The sequence below is a fragment of the Homo sapiens genome, chromosome 20 (genome assembly GCF_000001405.40).
Source record: "Homo sapiens chromosome 20, GRCh38.p14 Primary Assembly".
Lineage (NCBI taxonomy): Eukaryota > Metazoa > Chordata > Mammalia > Primates > Hominidae > Homo > Homo sapiens.
In genome coordinates this window covers 5,638,287-5,662,723 of record NC_000020.11, presented here as the reverse complement: position 1 = coordinate 5,662,723, position 24,437 = coordinate 5,638,287, and the positions used below count along the sequence as shown (strand labels likewise).

General features: G+C 47.1%; 1 long non-coding RNA gene across 1 annotated transcript, besides 8 other annotated features; it reads left to right on the top strand.

Moving 5' to 3' along the window:
- Positions 5,156–6,594, top strand: LOC124904864 (uncharacterized). Its single transcript, XR_007067511.1, has 2 exons — positions 5,156–5,379; positions 6,260–6,594. It is a non-coding gene; the product is annotated as an uncharacterized LOC124904864 (long non-coding RNA).
- Positions 5,179–5,679: an enhancer, noted in NCBI's record as "H3K4me1 hESC enhancer chr20:5637691-5638191 (GRCh37/hg19 assembly coordinates)". NCBI's record gives its function as "activates a minimal SCP1, AML or CMV promoter by ChIP-STARR-seq in primed H9 embryonic stem cells {active_cell/tissue: H9 hESC(primed)}" and the evidence as "EXISTENCE:reporter gene assay evidence [ECO:0000049][PMID:30033119]".
- Positions 5,680–6,180: an enhancer, noted in NCBI's record as "H3K4me1 hESC enhancer chr20:5637190-5637690 (GRCh37/hg19 assembly coordinates)". NCBI's record gives its function as "activates a minimal SCP1, AML or CMV promoter by ChIP-STARR-seq in primed H9 embryonic stem cells {active_cell/tissue: H9 hESC(primed)}" and the evidence as "EXISTENCE:reporter gene assay evidence [ECO:0000049][PMID:30033119]".
- Positions 9,480–9,579: an enhancer, noted in NCBI's record as "active region_17526". NCBI's record gives its function as "activates an Ori minimal core promoter by ATAC-STARR-seq in GM12878 lymphoblastoid cells {active_cell/tissue: GM12878}" and the evidence as "EXISTENCE:reporter gene assay evidence [ECO:0000049][PMID:35858748]".
- Positions 11,881–11,930: an enhancer, noted in NCBI's record as "active region_17525". NCBI's record gives its function as "activates an Ori minimal core promoter by ATAC-STARR-seq in GM12878 lymphoblastoid cells {active_cell/tissue: GM12878}" and the evidence as "EXISTENCE:reporter gene assay evidence [ECO:0000049][PMID:35858748]".
- Positions 11,961–12,040: an enhancer, noted in NCBI's record as "active region_17524". NCBI's record gives its function as "activates an Ori minimal core promoter by ATAC-STARR-seq in GM12878 lymphoblastoid cells {active_cell/tissue: GM12878}" and the evidence as "EXISTENCE:reporter gene assay evidence [ECO:0000049][PMID:35858748]".
- Positions 12,631–12,720: an enhancer, noted in NCBI's record as "active region_17523". NCBI's record gives its function as "activates an Ori minimal core promoter by ATAC-STARR-seq in GM12878 lymphoblastoid cells {active_cell/tissue: GM12878}" and the evidence as "EXISTENCE:reporter gene assay evidence [ECO:0000049][PMID:35858748]".
- Positions 15,072–15,211: an enhancer, noted in NCBI's record as "active region_17522". NCBI's record gives its function as "activates an Ori minimal core promoter by ATAC-STARR-seq in GM12878 lymphoblastoid cells {active_cell/tissue: GM12878}" and the evidence as "EXISTENCE:reporter gene assay evidence [ECO:0000049][PMID:35858748]".
- Positions 15,732–15,781: an enhancer, noted in NCBI's record as "active region_17521". NCBI's record gives its function as "activates an Ori minimal core promoter by ATAC-STARR-seq in GM12878 lymphoblastoid cells {active_cell/tissue: GM12878}" and the evidence as "EXISTENCE:reporter gene assay evidence [ECO:0000049][PMID:35858748]".

Sequence of the window (24,437 nt, the reverse complement as noted above, 5' to 3'; positions counted from 1 at the left end):
CATAGCTCACTGTAGCCTCAAACTCCTGGGCTCAAGCCATTCTCCCACCTTAGCCTCCTGAGTGGCTGGGACCACACGCACACGTGACCATGCCAGGCTAATTTTTTTTTTTTTTTTTTTTAGACAGAGTCTCACTCTGTCCCCCAGGCTGGAGTGCAGTGGCGTGACTTCAGCTCACTGCAACCTCTGCCTCCTAGGTTCAAGCAATTCTCCTGCCTCAGCCTCCCGAGTATCTGGGATTACATGTGCCTGCCACCACGCCCAGCTAATTTTTGTATTTTTAGTAGAGACGGGGTTTCACCATGTTGGCCAGGCTGGTCTCGAACTCCTGACCTTGTGATCCACACTCAGCCTCCCAAAGTGCTGGGATTACAGGCATGAGCCACTGTACACGGCCATTTTTTTTTATTTGTATGGATTTAGGAGGCACAAGTGCAGATTTCTTATATGCACATACTGCGTTGTGGTAAACCTGAGCTTTTAGTGTACCCATCACCCAAATAGTGAACATTGTACCCACTAGATTTTTTTTTTTTTACATTACAGGTGTGAGCCTCCACGCCTGGCCAGTAATTTTTTTTTTTTTTTAAGAGACAGGGCTGGGCACGGTTGCTCACTCCTGTAATCCCAGCACTTTGGGAGGCCGAGGCAGGCAGATCCCGAGGTCAGGAGATCGAGACCATCCTGACTAACACAGTAAAACCCCATCTCTACTAAAAAAATTAGCCAGGCGTGGTGGCAGGCGCCTGTAGTCCCAGCTACTTGAGAGGCTGAGGCAGGAGAATGGCTTGAACCCAGGAGGCGGAGCTTGCAGTGAGCTGAGATCATGCCACTGCACTCCAGCCTGGGTGACAGAGCGAGACTCCATCTCAAAAAAAAAAAAAAAAAAAGAGAGACAGAGTCTCGCTCTGTCTCCCAGGCTGAAGTGCAGTGGTGCAATCATAGCTCACTGCAACCTGGAACTCCTGGGCTCAAGTAATTCTCCTGCCTTAGCCTCTCAAGTCGCTAGGAATACAGGCATGTGCCACCACACCCAGCTAATTTTTACTTTTATTTTTGTAGAGATGAGGTCTCATTGTGTTGCCCAGGCTGGTCTGAAAACTCCTGGGCTCAAGTAATCCTCCCACCCTGGCCTCTCAAAGTGCTGGAATTACAGGTGTGAGCCACTGCACTCAGCCTACAATAAGTAATTTTTCAAACCTCATTCCCCTCCCACTCTCCCGCCTTTCAGAGTCTCCAATGTCTACTATTTCATTCTGAATGTCCATGTGTACTCATTGTTTAGTTCCCACTTATAAGTAAGAACAGGCAGTATTTGACTTTCTGTTTCTGAGTTATCTCCCTTAGGATAGTAGCCTTCCATTCCATCCATTTTGCTGCAGATAATATGATTTTATTCTTTTTTATGGCTGAGTCGTATTTCATGGTGTGTGTGTGCGTGTATGTATACACTACATTTTCTTTATTCAATCATCCATTGATAGACACTTAGGTTGATTCTGCATCTTTGCTATTGTGAATAAATAGTGCTGCAATAAACATGAGTGCAAATATCTTTAGTATATAATGATGTCTTTCCCTTTGGGTATGTATGCAGTAGGGGGATTGCCGGGTCGAATGGTAGTTCTTTGAGAAATCTTCAAAGAAGACTTTTTTTTTTTTTTTTGAGATGGAGTCTTGCTCTGTTGCCCAGGCTAGAGTGCAGTGGCACAATCTCGGCTCACTGCAACCTCTGCCTCTGGACTTAAGCAATTCTCATGTGTCAGCTTCCTGAGTTGCTGGATTACAGGCACGCACCACCACGCCGGGCTAATTTTTGTATTTTAGAGATGGGGTTTCACCATATTGGCCAGGCTGGTCTTGAACTCCTGGCCTCAAGTGATCCACCCATCTCCACCTCCCAAAGTGCTAGGATTATAGGCGTGAGCCGCCACTCCCTGCCCAAGGAAGACTTCCTAAAGTTAGGACTATCTTGGGACAATAAAGCTTAATTGTAATTTTCCTAAAGCATGAATACAGTCAAGTAAATGCCTTGTTCATTGGCTTCCCATTGCTCTTCAGAGAAATGCCCAGACTTTTTACCACTGTCTCCTGACCGTCCATTCCAGTGCTCTGCCTCATCTATTGCCAGGCTCTAATGCAATCCTACTGAGCTTCTTCCAGTCCCAAGGAGCTTGCTTTCACCTTCAGGCATGTGCCTACATTGTTTTCTCTGCCTGGAACACTTATCCAACCAATACCTCACACTTCATCCCTCCACCCTCAGTTTGGGCCTGCTAGCTGATCTTATCCTTGAGGTCTCAATTGAAAGAATGCTTCCTCCAGGAACACATAACCTTATAACCTTCCACCAGGGCTGGTTATGTGTACTTTCTTTTTTTTTTTTTTCTTTTTTTTTTCAGACAGAGTCTCACTCTGCCACCCATGCTGGAGTGCAGTGGCACCATCTCAGCTCACTGCAAGCTCCGCCTCCCAGGTTCAAGCGATTCTCCTGCCTCAGCCTCCCAAGTAGCTGGGATAACAGGCATGCGCCACCATGCCGGGCTAATTTTATATTTTTAGTAGAGACGGGGTTTCTCCATGTTGGTCAGGCTGGTCTTAAACTCCCAACCTCAGGTGATCCGCCTGCCTCGGCCTCCCAAAGTGCTGGGATTACAGGTGTGAGCCACCGCACCTGGCCACGTGTAATTTTTATGCTCACTATCCACCATGGTAGTGAGAATAGTATCATAACCTCCCACACACCCATCCCCTGGCTTCATTTGGTGATAGAAATCATCAAATATTCCATCAGTGAGCTGAGATGGTGCCACTGCACTCCAGCGTGGGGTCCACACTCATATCTACAAGTGACTCTCTAACCACAAACTCACTACGGCTGACATTCTTTCCCTCGAAGCGAACTCACCCAAATGCACTGACAGACAGCCCAGATGTACCACTGATATGGTCTGACCTCATTGTAGGGCTCTTCAAGAGCTGGAGAACTGACAGTGTGCTGTTCTTAAAGGGAAAGAAGGGCAAGGATCTATGGCACCTCCAGGGGGAAGCTCTGGGCCCCACCCCAGCGCAGGCTTTGAGGGCATCTCAGGAAGTTTATAACAGGCTGCAAGAAATGTTTGTGCACGTGCAGTCTATGTCCCTGTGAGGCACACTGTACCAAAAGCTGGATCTAAGTTTAGGTCGTTTCTGAGATCTTCCCCCCTTTCAAGATCCTCTAAAAATAGCTTCTCTCTTACTTAGGAAATCTGTCTTGCTATGGAACATAAATATGCTGATTTGAGTCCAACAGAAAGAAGCGTTACTGCCTGAGAGAAAAACCAGGGCTCTTAGTGAGGGACATGGGTGGGTAAGGAACTATCTGAAATTATTTTCCTTGTCCTTTAGAATGTATGCAGTGGCCCCCACCTCCCCCACCCCCAACCCTGGCAAGGTTCTACACTAAAAATGCAGTGGAGGGGGGCTTCACCGCTGAAATTTGGTGAATCTAGGAGGGAGATACGGGCAGCGTTCCAAGGCCTGCTTTGCAACACAGAATGTCAGTGAGAGAAATGCTGAAAAACAAAGAGGAAGGGTTGATATTTCCATGTTGGCAGTTGATCACATTCAGTCTTGTTCAGTGAAGCCGCTTCAGGGCTGTTGCCATGGGAACCAGACATGATTCAGTAGTTTGTTGAATGCAGCTTCCATGGGCTGAAGTTCTGAAGCTGTATCAGGGTTTCCCCCTCTTGTCAGGTGTTTTGAAGCTGCCAGAGTATTTTCTTCCAATACATGTTTTTTTTTTTTAATTTTTAATTTTTTTTTCTTTAACAATACAGATGGAGTTTCTCTATGTAGCCTAGGCTGGTCTTGAACTCCCGGGTCCAAACAATCCTCCCGCCCCAGCCTCCTAATTTTTAATGTTTATTTTGTGTAGAGACAGGATCTCACTACAGTGCCCAGGCCGGCCCAAAACTCCTCTGCTCAAGTGATGCTCCCACTTTATATGCCCAAAGTGTTGAGATTACAGGCATGAGTCCCTGTGCTTGACCCCAATACACGTGTTTTTATTTGTATTTTGTAATGTTGTCCTGTTTTAAAATATTTAATTTTACATTTTTGAGACAGGGTCTTGCTTTGTCTCCCAGGCTGGAGTGCAGTAGCATGAACATAGCTCACTGCAGCCTCCACCTCCTGGGCTTAAGTGATCCTCCCACCTCAGCCTCCCAAGTAACTGGGACCACAGGTGTGCGCCACCACCCCTGGATAATTTTTTTAATAATTTTTTTTTGAGACAGAATCTTGCTTTGTTGCCCAGGCTGGAGTGCAGTGGCACATCTCTGCTCACTGCAACCTCCACCTCCCAGGTTCAAATGATTCTTGTGCCTCAGCCTCCCGAGTAGCTGGGACTACAGGTGTGCACCTGTAATTTTTTTGTATCTTTAGTAGAGATGGGATTTCACCACATTGGCTGGGCTGGTCTCGAACTCCTGGCCTCAAGTGATCCACCTGCCTTGGCTTCCCAAAGGGCTAGGATTATAGTTGTGAGCTTAAATAATATTTGCAGAGACAAGATCTCACTATGTTGCCTAGGCTGGTCTCAAACTCCTGAGCTCAAGCAGACCTCCTGCCTCAGCCTCCCAAAGTGCTGGGTTTACAGGTGTGACCCACCATGCCAGGCCACAAGTGTTTTTAATTTCACTATCTATGAACACACAAAACAGCTGAAATAAAATGGCTAAATGCATGAGCCTAATATTTGTAGGATTTTAATTATTTTGTCAGGAATGAACTAATTTGGCACATTTCCCAGAAGGAGCCTGTGCTTGTAAATTGCATGTGGTTGCATGCTGAATTCTGCATCCCAATGTAAAAGACGGAGATCACCAAGGTCAGCCCTGATTTGCAGCCTTTGCTCTTTCCTGTCCGTGCTGGTTCAGGAAAACATTCATCATCGCGGTGACTTCCTTGTAACCTTTCCAAGTTCTTCACGTTCCTCATTTGTTCAGACTGGACAGTTCTCTGGTGAGAGTCTGGCCAGACATCTTGTCTCTTTAACCACCCAATGAGGTGTATCACCACCGGTTTCCTCCTTGCCTTCAGCCCTCTTAGTTGCTCACAAGACACACGTGGATAGGCAGCTGATACTTAAAAACTCTGATCTGGGATTCTTTCCAGAAATGCCTACAGCGGTCAGTGTGTAGAAATCAGCATACATTGAACAGGAAGCGATGAGGTGGGGGCTGTAGCAGTGGCCTCTGAAAGGACTGAGTTGAGATCCAGGATTGGCCTCTCAGTGACTTGTTTCCTTTTCCATGACTGCTTCCAGATTCCTGGGATGTGCTGCCCAGATTCCTCCTCGGGCTGGAAGGATTTCTTCTCTCAGCTGCTGGAAGTGTTGTAAGCTGATGGCTGATTGCCTCTCCAGGAACTACCCTCTTCTAAAAAAGGGGCCACCCACCCCACTCCAGGCTTTGCTTCCTTCCTGGGCATCCCACAGACCATACCTGGTTTGTGGAGGGGATGGGAGAAAGGCCTGGCCCCCTCACTCCCGCCCACCTTGCTCCAATGCAGGCACGTCTGAAGGGTCACCTGGCTGGCTGCAGCCCTTACTCTGCCTCGCAGCCCAGCTTCTCCCTGTGCCCTCTCTTGCTATCTGGCCTTCCCTTCCACAGGTGCAGGTCTTAAGGACACCCCCTAATAAACCTGCACATGAATGCTCTTCTCAGAATCAGCTCCTGGGATACAAATCTGCAACAACTCTGAACTTCCCAAAGGAAGTTCCTCCCCTATTTATGGAGTGCAATTTTGGAGTGATTTATTCCATACTCAGCCTCAGGTTTAAGGCATTAGGAAAAGCCAGCCTCTCCTCCTTCCCTGGGCCACAGTTATTTCTGAATCAGGGCAGTGAGACAATGAGAAGCCGGCTGAAGCCTTTCAAAAAAGTAGCTTTCCGGTAGGGCGCGGTGGCTCACGCCTGTAATCCCAGCACTTTGGGAGGTCAAGGTGGGCGGATCACGAGCTCAGGAGATCGAGACCATCCTGGCTAACACGGTGAAACCCCGTCTCTACTAAAAATACAAAAAAATTAGCCGGGAGTAGTGGCGGGCGCCTGTAGTCCCAGCTACTCAGGAGGCTGAGGCAGGAGAATGGCGTGAACCCGGGAGGCGGAGCTTGCGGTGAGCCGAGATCGCGCCACTGCACTCCAGCCTGGGGGACAGAGCGAGACTGTTTCAAAAAACAAACAAACAAAAAAGTAGCTTTCCTAATTTTCCAAAAGATCCACCAGAAGAGAAGTTTCTACATCATTGGATGTGAATGAGGAACGTGCATGGAGCCTTTGATGAGGAAAGACGCTTGCTGAGATCACAGCTGACCTGGGAAGGAGAAGGCGAGAAATAATCACAAGATTTGACCTACTGGCTCACACTACACCTGCCCAGCCACATCGGAAGACAGCCTTCCCCTGGATTTCCCAATTTGTGAGCCAATATGTTTACTCTTAGGCTAGTTGACTTCAAGTTCCCCATCTGTAAAATGGCATTAATGATACTGCAGCCTACCTTATGGGGATGTTTTAGAGAATAAACCATCAATGCATTCAGCACATAGAAAGTGCTCCACAAATGTTACTGATTTTTTTTTTTTTAAGACAGGGTCTTGCTCTGTTGTCCAGAATGAAGTGCAGAGTGTTGTCCGGGCTGGAGTGCAGTGGCGAGATCATAGCTCACTGCAGCCTCAACCTCCCAGGCTCAAGTGATCCTCCTGCCTCAGCCTCCTGAATGAGTAGCTAGGACTATAGGTGTGTGCCACTAAGCCTGGCTAATTTTTTGTAGAAATGAGGTTTCACTATTTTGCCCAGGCTGGTCTTGAACTCCTGGGCTCAAGCAAACCTCTGGCCTCAGCCTCCCAAAGTGTTGGGATTACAGGCATGAGCCACTGCACCTGGCCTGTTCCTGATTCTTATGGTTTTCAAAACCCATGGCTGATTTACATGATGAAAGAGAGTGTGTTTTCTTTAAGCATGGGTTCCTTGAAGGTACAAAGGTCTTTCTTTGACAATTGATACTTTCCTTCAGCCTGTACTTTGAAGTTTGATCCAGAGCTGAGGTTTTCAAACAATTTTAAAGCAATGACCTTTTATTATTTATTACTATTATTATTATTTTGAGACGGGTCTTGCTCTGTCACCCAGGCTGGAGTGCGGTGATGCAATTATGTCTCACTGCAGCCTCAGACTCCTAGCCTCAAGTAATTCTCCCACCTCGCCTCCTGAGTAGCTGGGACTCCTGGCACGTGCCCCCATGCCCATGCCTGGCTAATTTTTAAAATTCTTGTAGAGACAGCATCTTGCTATGTTGCCCAGTCTGATCTCAAACTCCTAGCCTCAAGCAATCCTCCTGCCTCGGCCTCCCGAAGTGAGCAGTGCCATTTTAAAAAATTGAAATCCTGGCCAGGCGCAGTGGCTCATGCCTGTAATCCCAGCACTTTGGGAGGCTGAGGTGGGTGGATCACAAGGTCAAGAGATCAAGACCATCCTGGCAGCATGCTGAAACCCCGTCTCTACTAAAAATACAAAAATTAGCCAGGCATGGTGGTGTGCACCTGTAGTCCCAGCTACTCAGGAGGCTGAGGCAGGAGAATCACGTGAACCCAGAAGGCAGAGGTTGCCGTGAGCCAAGATCGCACCACTGCACTCCAGCCGGGCAATAGAGTGAGATTCTGTCTCAAAAAAAAAAAAAAATTTGAAATCCTGTGTAGAAACTGTAGCTATGATATACATAATAATAATTTTTAAAAACGTATAAAGCACTTACCAGGTACCATGCTTAGCATTTTACTTACAGATTCTGTGTGTACACTTGCGTTATATATGAGTCACTGAAACCTCCCAACAACCCCATGAGGTAAGCACTATTATTATCTCTATTGTAGTTCTTAGGGAGCCTCTCCCTCTGCACTCACAAGAGTTCAGAGGATCTCATGTGGAATTTGATGACTATGACTCTCTATTTACTCTGAATAATGGATACCTTGAATCAGCTTTGGGTCACAAGACTTTTGTTAAAAAGCAGGAAATAGAATATATGTAGGACAAATAGCCCGAAGTAATAACTACACACACACACACACACACACACACAATATTCATTTTGGAGCTTTAGCTGGGTCTTTGTGTAGCTGACAGCAGTTGTTGAGAGGCACAGCAGCTCAGTCACAGACCTCTTTCATATTCCAAACAGGCTTGAGAAGACACAACTGGAAAGGGGAAAGGGGAAGGCAAATTAAGAAAAGGAATTAATATTGCCTTATACAGAAATGTGAAGGCCAGGCACAGTGGCTCACGCCTGTAATCCCAGCACTTTGGGAGGCTGAGGCGGGCAGATCACGAGGTCAGGAGATTGAGACCATCCTGGCTAACACGGTGAAACCCCATCTCTACTAAAAAATACAAAAAAAATTAGCCAGGCGTGGTGGCGGGCACCTGTAGTCCCAGCTACTTGGGAGGCTGAGGCAGGAGAATGGCGTGAACCCAGGAGGCAGAGCTTGCAGTGAGCCAGGATCACGCCACTGCACTCCAGCCTCGTGACAGAGCGAGACACCGTCTCAAAAAAAAAAAGAAATGTGAAATTGTATATTCATAGGGGAACAGAAACTGTGCAAATTATAGGGGGTGTTTGGAAAACATTTTACTTCCTCCATTTGCACTTAGACCGCACTGAGAATTTATGTTTGTCTTTAGGAGACTATGTGTGTGTGTTTGTGTGTATATGATCCTTCGGTTCCCTGGTGGGCAACTAAGAAATTAAGAGTCGTGCCTGAGCACAGTGGCTCACACCTGTAATCCCAGCACTTTGGGAGGCTGAGGCAAGTGGATCACCTGAGGTCAGGAGTTCGAGACCAGCCTGGCCAACATGGCGAAGCCCTGTCTCTACCAAAAATATAAAAAATTAGCCAGGCATGGTGGCACAAGCCTGTAATCCCAGTTACTAGGGGAGGCTGAGGCAGGAGAATTGCTTGAACTGGGGAGGCAGAGGTTGCAGTGAGCCGAGATTGTGCCACTGCACTCCAGCCTGGGCAACAAAGCTAGACTCTGTCTCAAAAAAAGAAATTAAGAGTTGTATCTGCAACTACACTGGTAGGAAGATTTGGAGTTAGGGCATCCACATCCACACTGGACTCTTTGATGAGATTAGGAATGCCAAGACTTCGAGAACTGTCCTGACCCCCTTGCCCCAAGGCATTACTCCAGACCTAGTAAATCAGTTTCAGGACCATGTCTTCTGCTCAGGGAGGGACATAGACAAGGACCCAAAACTAAGTCCTGTGGGCAGGGGCTGGGGTTTTGAATGGGCTATAGAGCTATGCATGGCAGTCAAAGAGGATGTTCGACAGGAAGTAGGAAGTGAGTTGGTGGGGGAAGATTTAGAAACTGAAGTGTGCCAACAAGAAAACCCAGTGAAGATTTGAACTTTTCAGATTTTCCTTTTTTTTTTTTTTTTTTTTTGAGACAAAGTCTCCATCTGTCACTCAAGCTGGAGTGCAGTGGTGCCATCTCGGCTCACTGCAACCTCCACTCCCAGGGTCAAGCAATTCTCCAGGCTCAGCCTCCTGAGTAGCTGGAATTACAGGCATGCACCACGATGCCCAGCTAAGTTTTGTATTTTTAGTAGAGATGGGGTTTCACCATGTTGGCCAGGCTGGTCTCAAACTCCTGACCTCAAGTGATCCGCCCACCTTGGCCTCTCAAATTGTTGGGATTATAGGTGTGAGCCAACATGCCCAGCCAGATTTTCCCTTTAACAAGAGGAAACTTCTTACATAGCCTAATTCTTATATGCTTTACTCATATATTTCGTACGTAGTTTGAGATTACCACAACCATTTAATGAAATCTGATACACTCACATACCTTGTGAATCATGGAGATTTGGGGGGATGGGACATGGGGGACAGGCTGAAAAATGGTGTGGCAGTCCAAGGCAAAGAAGTGAGAGACAGGCCTCTCAGGCCTAGGGAACTGGTGGGATCCAGGGTGTGGATGTCAAACAATCCTTCAGTGCCCTACATATAATTTAAAGTGCTGCGCTTCAGGAATCCAGAAAACTGACTATTGAGTTATAAGCATAATTGGGCCAGACTCAGTGGCTCTCGCCTGTAATCCCAGCACTTTGGGAGGCTGAGACAGAGGGATCACCCGAGGTCAGGGGTTTGAGACCAAACTGGCCAACATGGTGAAACTCCGTCTCTACTAAAAATACAAAAGTTAGCTGGGCATGGTGGCGCATGCCTGTAGTCCCAGGTTCTTGGGAGGCTGAGGCAGGAGAATTGCTTGAACCTGGGAGGTAGAGGTTACAGTGAACTGGGATTGTGCCACTACACTCCAGCCTGGGTGACAAAGTGAGTCTCTGTCTCAAAAAAAAAAAAAAAATTGGAAAGTTTATTTTGCAAAGGTTAAGGACCTGCCAGTAACACAGCCTCAGGAGGTCCTAATGACATATGCCCAAGGTGGTCAGGGTACAGCTTGGCTTTATATATTTTAGGGAGACATGAGATAACAATCAATACATTTAAGATGTACATTTGTTCGGTCTGGAAAGGTAGAACCACTCAAAGCAGGGGTTTCCAGGTCTTAGGTAGATAAGATGCAAACGGTTGCATTATTTTGAGTCCCTGATCAGCCTTTCGCTGAATACACAATTTACATGTGAGAGCAGGGTAGAGGAATAGTCACTTATGCCTTAGCCTGGCTCAGTGAATCTGCATTTTTCCATAAACAGTAGGGCAATTAGATACACATTTGTCTCAGGTGAGCAGAGGGATGACTTTGATTTCTGGCCTTTGTCCCACACCTGTGAAGATAGCTTTCAATTTACATTGCCAGGGTGAAATCCAACAGAACTATTTTAGAGTAAAGATCTTGAGGCTCACAGGGAATTTCTTTGTGGGCAAACTGCAAGGGAGGTATGTAGCTTTTTTTTTTTTTTTTTTTAAATCTTTGTAGCTATCTTATTTAGGAATAAAATGGGAGGCAGGTTTGCCTGACGCAGTTCCCAGGTTGACTTTTCCCTTTGGCTTAGTTACTTTGGCGTCACGAGATTTAGTTTGCTTTCGCATACCCAGGTCCATAACATCCAAGTGCATTTTTTGGTAGGGGTTGCTGCATGGCAGGATGTCAAGGTGGCAAGAGAGAAGCGTGGTGTGGGACGAGAAAGAAGGGGCTCCAGCTCAAGACGCCAGCAGCCAGTAGTGTCACTTCAGCCTCTTGGTGCCTCAGATTTATCTTCTTTACCATGAAAGGGTTGCAAATTTCACCATTAGAGATTCATTTTTGTATCCTAATGTCTTTCCTCCGGCTAAAATACACATACCAGCCAGGTGTGGTGACTCATGCCTGTAATCCCAACACTTTGGGAGGCCGAGGTGGGTGGATCACTTGAGGTCAGGAGTTTGAGACCAGCCTGGCCAACATGGTGAAACCCCATCTCTACTAAATATACAAAAATTAACTAGGCATGGTGGTGGGCGCCTGTAATCCCAGCTACTTGGGAGGCTGAGGCAGGAGAACTGCTTGAACCCGGGTGGTGGAGGTTGCAGTGAGCCAAGATCGTGCCACTGCACTCCCTCCTGGGCAACAGAGTGAGACTCCGTCTCAAAAATAATAATAACAACAATAATAATAATATTAAAGCAAAACCAGTTGTGATGGCTCAGGCCTGTAGTCCCAGCACTTTGGGAGGCCGAGACGGGGTTCAAAACCAGCCTGGCCGACATGGTGAAACCCCATCTCCACTAAAAATACAAAAATTAGCCGGGCATGGTGGTGTGCACCTGTAATCCCAGCTACTTGGAGGCTGAAGCACGAGAATCACTTGAACCCAGGAGGCAGAGGTTGCAGTGAGCTGAGATTGCACCACTGAACTCCAGCCTGGGTGACAGAGGGAGACTCCATCTCAATAATAATAACAATAATCATAAGGCAAAAAGAAAGGTCTAATCATTAGGTATTTATGCTAAAGTGAACTTATTCAAGAACAGGCTTGGATGGAGGAGAAAAGATAATTGGAAGGGATGTGGTGTAGACCTCTAAGGTGGAGGATGAGCACAGAAAGGGGAGGTCGCACAGACCAACGTAAATGTCTGGTGAGAACTAATCAGCTGAGTGAAAGAAAAATAAAGAGATTTGACAGTGTCACCTTTTCAAGAGAATAAGGAAGTAGAATCTACATACATGTCACAGCAGTAAGAGTTGAGTTTTACTAAATGTTTTTCTATTGATAAACAGTTGCTACAAAAGCACCCTTGGGTTTCTTCCTGGGTTGTGGTGTGAGTCAAATATACTTCAGAGTGGAAAAACTAATTTCTTTATTCCTTTTTTCTTTTCTCTCTTTCTTTTTATTTCTTTTTCTTTTCTTTTTTTTTTTTTTTTTTGAGACAGGGTCTCGCTCTGTCACCCAGGCTAGTGTGCAGTGGCGTGTTCTCAGTTCACTGCAACCTCAACCTCCCAGGCTCAAGCAATCCTCACACCTCTGCCTCCTAAGTAGCCACCATGCCAGGCTAATTTTATCTTATTTTTTTCTTGCAGAGACAAGGTCTCACTATGTTGCGCAGGCTGGTCTCCAACCCCTGGACTTAAGCAATCTTCCTGCCTTAGTCTCCCAAAGTGTCAGGATTACAGACGTGAGCCTCCATGCCTGGCCTAATTTCTTTCTTTCAGTTTTTCTCCCTAAAATATACAGTTGTTGTTCCTTTTCTTTTCTTTTCTTTTTGAGACAGAGTCTCGCTCTGTCACCCAGGCTGGAGTGCAGTGGCGTGATCTCAGCTCACTGCAACCTCCGCCTCCCAGATTCAAGCGATTCTCCTGTCTCAGCCTCCCAAGTAGCTGGGATTATAGGCACAAGCCACCATGTCAGGCTAATTTTTGTATTTTTAGTAGAGATGGGTTTTTACCATGTTGGTCAGGCTGGTCTGAACTCCTGACCTCGTGATCCACCTGCCTCGGCGTCCCAAAGTGCTGGGATTACAGGCCCACGCGTGAGCCACCACGGCCTCATTTTCTAATACAGTCATTCATTAAGAATGTAGGAGCCGGGTGCGGTGGCTCATGCCTGTAATCCCAGCACACTGGGAGTCCGAGAAGGGTGGATCACCTGAGGCCAGAAGTTCAAGACCAGCCTGGTCAACATGGTGAAACCCCGTCTCTACTAAATATACAAAAATTAGCTGGGCGTGGTGGCGGGCACCTGTAATCCCAGCTACTCAGGAAGCTGAGGCAGGAGACTCGCTTGAACCCGGGAGGCGGAGGTTGCAATGAGCCAAGATCACACCATTGTGCTCCAGCCTGAGCAACAACAGTGAAACTTTGTCTCAAAAAAAAAAAAAAAAAAGAACGTAGGAAAATTCTACTCTGTTTTATCAAAACTCCAAAACAAAAAAATTGGTCAATGATTTTTTAAAACAAAAATTTCAGGCCAGGTACAGTGTCCCAGGCCTGTTCAAGACCAGCCTGAGAAACATGGTGAAATCCTGTCTCTGCAAAAAATAAAAAAAATAGCCAGATGTGGTGGTGCAGGCCTATAATCCCAGCTACTTGGGAGGCTGAGGCAGGAGAATCACTTGAACCCGGGCTGTCAAGGCTTCAGTGAACCTAGATGGCACCACTGCATTCCAGCCTGGGCAACAGAGCGAGACCCTGTCTCGAAAACAACAACAACAAAAAAGTTGAATTAGAAGTCATAGGTTTTTGGCTGGGTACAGTGGCTCATGCCTGTAATCCCAGCATTTTGGGAGGTTGAGGTGGGTGGATCACAAGGTCAGGAGTTCCAGACCAGCCTGGCCAATATGGTGAAACCCTGTCTCTACTAAAAATACAAAAATTAGCTGGGCGTGGTGGTGCGTGCCTGTAGTCCCAGCTGCTTGGGAGGCTGAGGTAGGAAAATTGCTCGAACCCGGGAGGTGGAGGTTACAGTGAGCTGAGATAGCACCACTGCACTCCAGCTTGGGTGACAGAACAAGACTCCATCTCAAAGAAAATAATAATAATAATAATAATAATAATAATAATAATAGTAATAATAGAAGTGATAGGTTTTTGTTTGTTTTTGTTTTTAGACAAGAACTTACTTTGTTGCCCAGGTTGGAGTGCAGAGGTGCCATCTCAGCTCGCTGCAACTTCTGCCTCCTGGGTTCAAGCAGTTATCGTGCCTCAGCCTCCCGAGTACCTGGAATTACAGGCGCACGCCACCACACCCGGCTACTTTTTATATTTTTGGTTGAGATGGGCTTTCACCATGTTGGCCAGGCTGGCCTCAAACTCCTGGCCTCAAGTCATCTGCCCACCTCGGCCTCCCAAAGTGCTGGGATTACAGACATGAGCCACTGCATCCAGCCTAGATTTTTTTCTTTTTTAAGTGAGAATGTTGGAGGAGGTGATCCCTCAGGTCTCTTCCAGCTCTGAGATATTTTGTTTTGTTTTGTGTCTTGCTTTACTTTCTGGAAGTGACAGTGTTTGAAGGAGGCCCATGCCTGTGGGACCAAATTAAACAGAGCTCAGAGCTGGCCAATCTGTCTGACTCATTGAGAACAGAAGCACACACCCTGTTAGCATTTGTTGAGCAATGAAGACAGAGTTGCGTCTTGTGTCTCCTGTCTCATAGCATTTCTTAAGTTCTTTCAGAATTTCACCAGACACTGAATTCGAGATAGAGCTGATGTCGTTTTTTTTCTTTTTTTTTTTTTGAGATGGAGTTTCGCTCTTGTTGCCCAGGCTGGAGTGCAGTGGCGCCATGTCGGCACACTGAAATCTCCTCATCCCGGCCGGGTTCAAGCAATTCTCCTGCCTCAGCCTCCCAAGTAGCTGGGACTACAGGCACCCGCCACCACACCCGGCTAATTTTTTGTATTTTTAGTAGAGACGGGGTTTCACCATGTTGGCCAGGATGGTCTCAAACTCTTGACCTCAGGTGATCCACCCGCCTTGGTCTCCCAAAGTGCTGGGATTACAGCATGAGCCACTGCACCTGGCCAGAGCTGGTGTAATTTTCTACATAGAAGTTAAACTGGGTAACTCAGTTCAGAGCCCAGTACGAACAACCCCTTTAGAAGCAGCCAATCTGGAGGCAATATAGGTCATAAAAAAAAGAAAAATAGAAGCAGCCAAGAAAATGGCCTTAGCAGCTACAGCATGCTTGGACAGTTTAGGGAAATCTCTTAGCCCAGTCATGATTCTTATGGTTAAAACAACGACAGCAACAAAAATATTTCTCTTGATATTCTTTTAAAAGTTTTCACTGAGTCCTGAATAGAGACTGTATTAAAGTGGCATGAGAAAATGCAAAAGCATTTCAGCTCTACCTCAAGCTTTCTTCCTTATAGAAACAAATATAAACAAACAACTAACCACATTTCCTCCTCAACGTTTCCTCAGGGACAGATGAGCCTGGGAATTTTGCCCTTTATGGTATCTAGTGACTCACTTTTCTTTTTTTTTGAGATGGAGTCTCGCTCTGTCGCCCAGGCTGGAGTGCAGTGGCATGATCTCTGCTCACTACAAGCTCCACCTCCCGGGTTCACGCCATTCTCGTGCCTCAGCCTCCCGAGTGGCTGGGACTACAGGTGCCCACCACCATGCCCAGCTAATTTTTGTATTTTTAGTAGAGATGGGGTTTCACCATCTTGGCCAGGCTGGTCTTGAACTCCTGACCTTGTGATCCACCCACATCAGCCTCTGGACATGCTGGGATTACAGGTGTGTGCCGTCGCACCCAGCTGCACTTAATTTTTAATTTAACTTTATTATTTTTTTGAGACAGGGTCTCAGTCTGTCACCCAGTCTGGAGTGCAGTTGCATAATCACGGTTCGCTCGACTTCCTGGGCTTAGGTGATCCCCCCACCTCTGCGTCTTGAGTAGCTGGGACTACAGGTGCATGCCACCACACCTGGCTAATTTTTCTATTTTTGTAGAGATGGGGTTTCATCATGTTGCCCAGGCTGATCTCAAACTTCTGGGCTCAAGCAATCTGCCCACCTTGCCTTCCCAACTTGCTGGATTACAAGTGTCAGGCACTGTGCCCGGCCTCCAACATTTATAAAAGTCATAAATCACCTTTGTTGAGTTATAGATCTAGAAATTTTAGCTCACAAAGGAGCCTATATTCTTTGTGGTATCAAGTGACTCACTTTCTTTTTCTTTTTCTTTTTTTTTTTTTTTGAGATGGAGTTTCACTCTTGTTGCCCAGGCTGGGGCTGGAGTGCAGTGGCGCCATGTCGGCTCACTGCAACCTCCTCATCCCGGGCTCAAGCGATTCTCCTGCCTCAGCCTCCCAGCTACTCGGGAGGCTAAGCAGGAGAATCGCTTGAACCCAAGAAGTGGAGGTTGCAGTGAGCTGAGATCATGCCATTGCACTCCAGCCTGGGCAACAAGAGCGAAACTCCGTTTCAAAAAAAAAAAAAAAAAAATTAGCTGGGCATAGTGGCACGTGCCTGTAATCCCAGCTACTAGGGAGGCTGAGTCAGGAGACTTGCTTGAACCTGGGAGGCAGAGGTTGCAGTGAGCCGAGATTGTGCCACTGAACTCCAGCCTGCGCGACAGAGCGAGACTTCGTCTCAAAAAATAAAATAAAATAAAATAAAAATGCTGGAAAGCAGGAGCTTCAGTAAGTTTAATTCTCCGAAAACTTGCTGGTGATTTGTATGCCATACTTAGTGATTTATTAACAAAACAGAAGAGAAGCTGTTCAAGTTGTTAGAAGAGAATTCAAATTCCTGAGTAGGTTTTACCCAAATAAGTGACAACTTCAATCACATAATTATTGGGTGATCTGTTGTCAGCTCCGTGCATATGACCTAAGTTTTCACCTTAGAAACAAAAGGGAGAAGTTGTACTTTACAGGGTATGTTTTCTACATGTGGATAGTGTCAATGAAAAAAAATTTGAAAGTGCTGGAGCCCATTCTGGAGTTTCATGCATGCACTCATATAGCATTTGAGTTGAGTTCAAACCCTTTTTCACTCTACCAAGGTCCATCTCATGGGACTTTGGTCTTAGAGGAGGAATAAAAAGAGAACAACAATGAGCTCTAATATAAAACACAGGAAATGAGACTCGTGAGAAAGTTATTCTCGTCTTTACGTGTTCGGTTGAATGCCGCTGTGTCATGTAGGGCCAAGATTGCAGCAAAACAGGATCTGGGTCATTACACACTTTCCACTGAAGGGGGTCTCAAGAGTATCCTCATTTTGGGTTTGAGATGCCGATTCACCTTATCAGTATTTACTTTTTAAAAACTAGTTGGGTTTTTTTGAGACAGAGTCTCACTCTGTCACACAGGCTGGAGTGCAGTGGCACAATCTTGGCTCACTGCAGCCTCAACTTCCCAGGTTCAAGTGATCCTCCCACCTCAGCCTCCCAAGTAGCTGGGACTATAGGTGTGTACCCCCATGCTCAGTTAGCCTTTCAATTTTTAGATATGGGTGGAATTGGGTATGACTGGTCATATCCAGCAGGATGCCCAGTTAGGAGAGAAGCAGTTTGTTGTTTATGTGGTGTTTGATTTGTCTAAAATCTAACAAGTTCCTAAAAAGTCTTTCTGTTTCCTCATTTGTGGAAAAATTGGGTTGGCATTATGACTGTGGGAATAACTGTGAGGACTGAGGGGAAGAAGGAGCTAAAAAGAGAATAAAGGAAACAAAGAAGCTTACTTCAGATAGGATGGTCAGAAAGTCTGCTTTAGTGGACAATAATTAAGCTAAGGCCCAGAGGAAGAGACAAAGCTAGCATGGGAAGAGTAGGGGAAGAGCTTCTAGGATGAAGGAACAGTATAGCAAAGACCTCTAGGCTGGACAGGACTGGCATTGTGTGCCAAAGACAGAGTGGCATGAAATGAGCTTGCACTTGGGAGGATGGGTAGAAGCCAGGTCCTGTAGCAGTTTAGAGGACACTACAAGTTTATTTTTATTTATTTATTTATTTTGAGATGGAGTCTTGCTCTGTCATCCAGGCTGGAGTGCAGTGGCGCGATCTCAACTCACCCCAACCTCTGCCTCCTGGGTTCAAGTGATTCTCCTGCCTCAGCCTCCCAAGTAGCTGGGATTACAGGTGCCTGCCACTATGCCTGGCTAATTTTTGTATTTTTAGTAGAGACAGGTTTCGCCATGTTGGCCAGGCTGGTCTCCAACTCCTGACCTCAGGTGATTGGCCTGCCTTGGCCTCCCAGAGTGCTGGGATTACAGGTGTAAGCCACTGTGCCAGGCCTAAGTTTATATTTAGTTCTAAGTGTAGTGGGAATCCAATGAAGGATGTTGCATAGACTGTGAGTGATCTGATTTTTATTTTTTAAGATAGACCTATTTTCTGGGTAGAGAATGGGTTGGATAGGGCAAGGAGATGGGGTGGTAATGGAGAGGGTAAGGAGGTGGGGTGGTAATGGAGGTGGACAAGTTTGAAATGGCTTTGGATACAGAATGAACAAGACTTGTGATGAATTGGATGTAGAGAGTGGGGAGAAAAAATGAATCCAGATATAATGAAATTTCCTACTAGTGTGGTTAAATAGGAGGTGGTGCTACCTACAAGACAAGTAAGGCCTACTGTGGGAGAACAGGTTTGGGAAGGGAGGAACCAAGGCGATACATTGTGCTGTCTATGAATTTCCTGGTTGGAATATTAAGAAGGCAGGTGAATTATAACAGTCTGAAGTTCCAGGAAGAGATCAGGGCTGGAGATATAAATGTTGATAATGCTGGTATCAAGATGGCATTAAAGCCATGGGATTGGATAAAATCATTCAGAAAGAGAACAGAGGAGCTCCAGTAGTGCAATTGCTTAAAGTGCAGTACTTATATGACAGAAAGCACAGAAAGAGCAGAGATGTGGCTGGGTGTGGCGGCTCACGCCTGTAATCCCAGTATTTTGGGAGACCAAGGCGAGTGGATCACCTGAAGTCAGGATTCCGAGACCAGCCTGGCCAATGTGGTGAAACCCCATCTCTACTAAAAATACCAAAACTAGCGGGGAGTAGTGGCACATGCCTGTAATCCCAGCTACTTGGGAGGCAGGATAGTGCGGAGGTTGCAGTGAGCCGAGACCCTGCCATTGCACTCCAGCCTGACTCCACCTCAAAAAAAAAGAAAAGAAAAAGAGAAGACACGCAATGATTAAGATTCTCAGCTTTATTATTATTATTCTCTTTTTATTAAAAAGTAGAGATGGGAGCCATGCGCGGTGGTTCACACCTGTAATCCCAGCACTTTGGGAGGCTAAGGCAGACAGATCACTTGAGGTCAGGGGTTGGAGACCAGGCTAGTCAACATGGTGAAACTTCGTCTTTATTAAAATGCAAAAATTAGCCAGCCACGGTGGCAGGCACCTGTAATCCCAGCTGCTCAGGAGGCTGAGGCAGGAGAATCTCTTGAAACCGGGAGGCGGAGGTTGCAGTGAGCTGAGATCATGCCACTGCACTCTAGCCTGGGTGACAGAGTGAAACTCCCTCTCAAAAAAATAAATAAATAAATAAAAGTTGAGATGGGGGTCTCACTATACTGGCCAGTCTGGTCTTGAACTCCTGTCTTCAAGTGATTTTCCCACCTCAACCTCCCAAAGTTCTGAGATTACATGCATGAGCCACTGTGCCTGACCAGGATCCTTAACATTTAGAGGTTGGATAATGGAGGAAGACCTTAAATAGATGGCCAGGGAGATGACAAACAAGGAGAAAATGGCATCCCTGAAACTAGAAGGAAAGTATTTTCAGAAACAGTGAGTGGTCAATTGAGTCAATGTTGCTTAGAGATCAGAAAACACAAAACAGAAAAATGTCCAGTGGGTTAGGCAACATGGAGTCCTTGTTGGCCATAATGAAAGCAGGTTCAGTGAAGTGGTGGTTGGGGCAAAAGCCAAGCCAGAGGGAAGTAGATGGCAGGCAGAGGGCATTCTTCCAAGAAATTTGGCCCAGATGAAAGTAGTTTAAAAAACCCTTTGCTTCTTCTCTGTGTGTTGTGAAAGAACAAAGCTCTAAGGTTATTGTCTTATTGCAGTCTGGTTTTCCCTTCCTGTTTTGATTGCAAAGTTCACTTTGCTTCAATTTTCAATTAACAGTAACTGGAAAATCATCTCCTTTCATCACAGCGTGAAACCTGCACAGCATTGTCCTGTAAAGCAACTACTAATTACATTGGCACAAGTAAACTTCCTGAAAGACTGTGTCCTTGTTGAATAAAGATATCATTCAAGCGACCCTGATTTCTTCTTAGAAGCTAAAAATATCTTTCCATCTTCTTAAAACCAATTAATTATTCAGGAGAAATATTCTCCTTCTAGTCTGGCCAAGAGATTGAAAATGACCTTTTAAGGGCAAGGGCAGCTTGTCTCCTTCTGTTAGTGCAAAAATAACATTGAAAGAGGAAAAATGGGTCTGTCATTCTCACTTCTGTTTTCCCTCCTCTTCTGCAACACGTGTCAAGGACAACCAGGTCTCAAGAACTTCATCTCTATTCCCAGCTCTGGGACTCAAATTAGTGCTTGAGTTTTCCTTAAAATGATCCTGGCTCCAATATTACATACCTCCTTTGTTTCCTCTTTTTTTTTTTAGATGGAGTCTCGCTCAGTTGCCCAGGCTGGAGCACAGTCAGCGCACTGCAACCTCCGCCTCCCAGGTTCAAGCGATTCTTCTGCCTCAGCCTCCTGAGTAGCTAGGATTATGGGTGCACACTACCACTCCTGGCTAATTTTTATATTTTTAGTAGAGACTGGGTTTCACCATGTTGGCCAGGCTGGTCTTGAATTCTTGAGCTCCCGTGATCTGCCTGCCTTGGCCTCCCAAAGTGCTGGGATTACAGGCGTGAGCCACCGCACCCAGCCTCCTCACCTTTTTAAAATTAATTTTTAAAATTTTCTGTAGAGATGGGTTGTTACCATGTTGCCCAGGCTGGTCTCGAACTCCTAGACTGAAGTGACTCTTTTGCCTCAGCCTCCCAAAGTGCTGGGATTACAGGCATGAGCCACCACGCTTAGCCTGTCTCTTCTTTTCTCCCCTCAATATTAGCTTTCCCTTGGCCCAGTCTCCCACCACCTCCTGGTGTTCATACCCTTTCTCATTGAATAGGACTGACCTATGTGACCAATGGGATATTACAGAAATGACAGAGGATGGCTTCTGAGGCTAGCTCACACAAAAACATTGCAGCCTGATCCTTGTTCTCTCTTGGATTGCTTACTCTGAGGAAGGCTGCCATCATATCATGAGAACAGTAAAGCAGTCCCTCATAGGGAGGCTCTGAAGGTTCCGGCTAATAACCAGCACTATGTGAGCAAGCCCTCTTGGAAGTAAATCTGCCAGCCCCAGGCAAGCCTTCAGATAACTACAACCCCAGCTGACATCTTGTCTGCAGCCTCCCAAGAAACCCCAAACCAGAACCACTCAGCTAAACTGCTTCTAGTCTTCTGACCCACAGAAACTGCAATATAAAATGTTTATTGTTTCAAGCCACTAAGTTTGGGGTGAATTGTTATATGGCAATAGATAAATAATACATCGCTGGGATTAAATGACTGGGAACAGCTTCATGACCTCCGGGAAGGAAAGGTTCACATATATTAAAGAGGATTGTTTTAAATTCAGGTATGTAATTGAGGAATTTTAGAAAACAGAAAACATGGGGTGAAGGATCCAAGGCAGGGGGTAAGGAGAGGAGACAGTTTTTCTGTGCATATGCATGTTTTGAGATGCAGGAAAGAGCAGAAGGGGCCGGGTGCAGTGGCTCACGCCTGTAATCCCAGCACTTTGGCAGCCTGAGGAGGGTGGATCACCTGACGTCAGGAGTTCAAGACCAGCCTGGCCAACATGACAAAACCCTGTCTCTACTAAAAATACAAAAATCAGCAGGGTGTGGTGGTGGGCACCTGTAGTCCCAGCTACTCAGGAGGCCAAGGCAGGAGAATTGCTTGAACCAGGAGGTGGAAGTTGCAGTGAGCCAAATTGCACCACTGCACTCCAGCCTGGGCAACAGAGTGAGACTCTGTCTGAAGAAAAAAAAAAAAAAAGGCCGGCCATGGTGGCTCACGCCTATAATCCCAGCACTTTGGGAGGTTGAGGCAGACAGATCACTTGAGGTCAGGGGTTCAAGACCAGCCTGGCCAACATGGTGAAACCCCGTCTCTACTAAAAATACAAAAATTAGCCAGGCTTGGTTGGTGGGCACCTGTAACCCTAGCTACTTGGGAGGCTGAGGCAGGAGAATCACTTGAACCCAGCAGGCAGAGGTTGCAGTAAGTCGAAATCACACTACTGCACTCCAGCCTGGATGACAGATCAAGACTAAGTCTCAAAAAAGCAAAAGGAGCTAACATATAGTTGAGTAGGTCCTGAGAACTTGCCTTCAGATCAAACACTGCCCAGCCTGTATTCATCAGGGCTTCTTACCTCCCTACACTTAAAAAATCTTTTATTGATTACATTATCATGGTAGATTAAAAATAACCCCCTAGGGAAGCCAGTTACCATGTGAGATGTGTGATTCTCTTTAACCCACCATGTTGTAAGGAAGCCCAATTTAGCCATGTGGAAAAGTACTTGAAAAGAGAAAACCAGCCTCAGCTGTTTCAGCCACTCCAATTAGCTACCAGGCGTGTAAGTAAAGACGCCATCTGATCAATACCGATAAAGAAACCTGCAGCTCCCTCTCCCCACGGTCTCCCTCTCCCTCTCCCCACGGTCTCCCTCTCCCTCTCCCCATGGTCTCCCTTTCCCTCTCTTTCCACGGTCTCCCTCTGATGCCGAGCCGAAGGTGGACTGTACTGCCGCCATCTCTGCTCACTGCAACCTCCCTGCCTGATTCTCCTGCCTCAGCCTGCCGAGTGCCTGCGATTGCAGGCGCGCGCCGCCACGCCTGACTGGTTTTCGTATTGTTTTGGTGGAGACAGGGTTTCCCTGTGTTGGCCGGGCTGGTCTCCAGCTCCTGACCGCGAGTGATCCGCCAGCCTCGGCCTCCCGAGGTGCCGGGATTGCAGACGGAGTCTCGTTCACTCAGTGCTCAATGGTGCCCAGGCTGGAGTGCAGTAGCGTGATCTCGGCTCGCTACAACCTCCACCTCCCAGCCGCCTGCCTTGGCCTCCCAAAGTGCCGAGATTGCAGCCTCTGCCCGGCCGCCACCCCGTCTGGGAAGTGAGGAGCGTCTCTGCCTGGCCGCCATCGTCTGAGATGTGGGGAGCGCCTCTGCCCCGCCACCCCGTCTGGGATGTGAGGAGCGCCTCTGCCCGGCCGCGACCCCGTCTGGGAGGTGAGGAGCGTCTCTGCCCGGCCGCCCCGTCTGAGAAGTGAGGAGCCCCTCCACCCGGCAGCCGCCCCGTCTGGGAAGTGAGGAGCATCTCCGCCTGGCAGCCGCCCCATCAGGGAGGCGGGAGACAGCCCCCGCCCCGCCAGCCACCCCGTCCGGGAGGGAGGTGGGGGGCAGCCGCCCCCCGGCCAGCCGCCCCGTCCGGGAGGTGGGGGGGCGCCTCCACCCGGCCTCCCCTTCTGGGAAGTGAGGAGCCCCTCTGCCCGGCTGCCACCCCGTCTGGGAGGTGTACCCAACAGCTCATTGAGAACGGGCCATGATGACGATGGCGGTTTTGTCGAATAGAAAAGGGGGAAATGTGGGGAAAAGATAGAGAAATCAGTTGGTTGCTGTGTCTCTGTAGAAAGAAGTAGACATAGGAGACTCCATTTTGTTCTGTACTAAGAAAAATCCTTCTGCCTTGGGATGCCGTTGATCTATGACCTTACCCCCAACCTGGTGCTCTCTGAAACATGTGCTGTGTCCACTCAGGGTTAAATGGATTAAGGGCGGTGCAAGATGTGCTTTGTTAAACAGATGCTTGAAGGCAGCAGGCTCGTTAAGAGTCATCACCACTCCCTAATCTCAAGTACCCAGGGACACAAACACTGCGGAAGGCCGCAGGGTCCTCTGCCTAGGAAAACCAGAGACCTTTGTTCACTTGTTTATCTGCTGACCTCCCCTCCACTGTTGTCCTATGACCCTGCCAAATCCCTCTCTGCGAGAAACACCCAAGAATGATCAATAAAAAAAAAAAGATGCCATCTTTGGACGGACATGGTGGCTCACACCTGTAAACCCAGCACTTTGGGAGGCCAAGGCAGGATTGAGTGAGGCCAGGAGTTCAAGACTAGCCTGCAACATAGTGAGAACTGCTCCCCCACCACACACATCTCTATGAAAAATTTGAAAATTAGCTGGCCGTGGTAGCACATGACTATAGTCCCAACTACTCAGGAGGCTGAGGTGGGAGGAACATTTGAGCCCAGGAGTTTGATGCTACAATGAGCTATGATTGAGCCACTGCACTCCAGCCTTGGTGACAGTGAGACCCTGTCTCAATAATAATAGTAATAGAGGAAGAAGGAGGAGGAGGAGGAGGAGGAGGAAGAGGAGGAGCCATTCTGGAAATCTGGTTCAGCTTTTA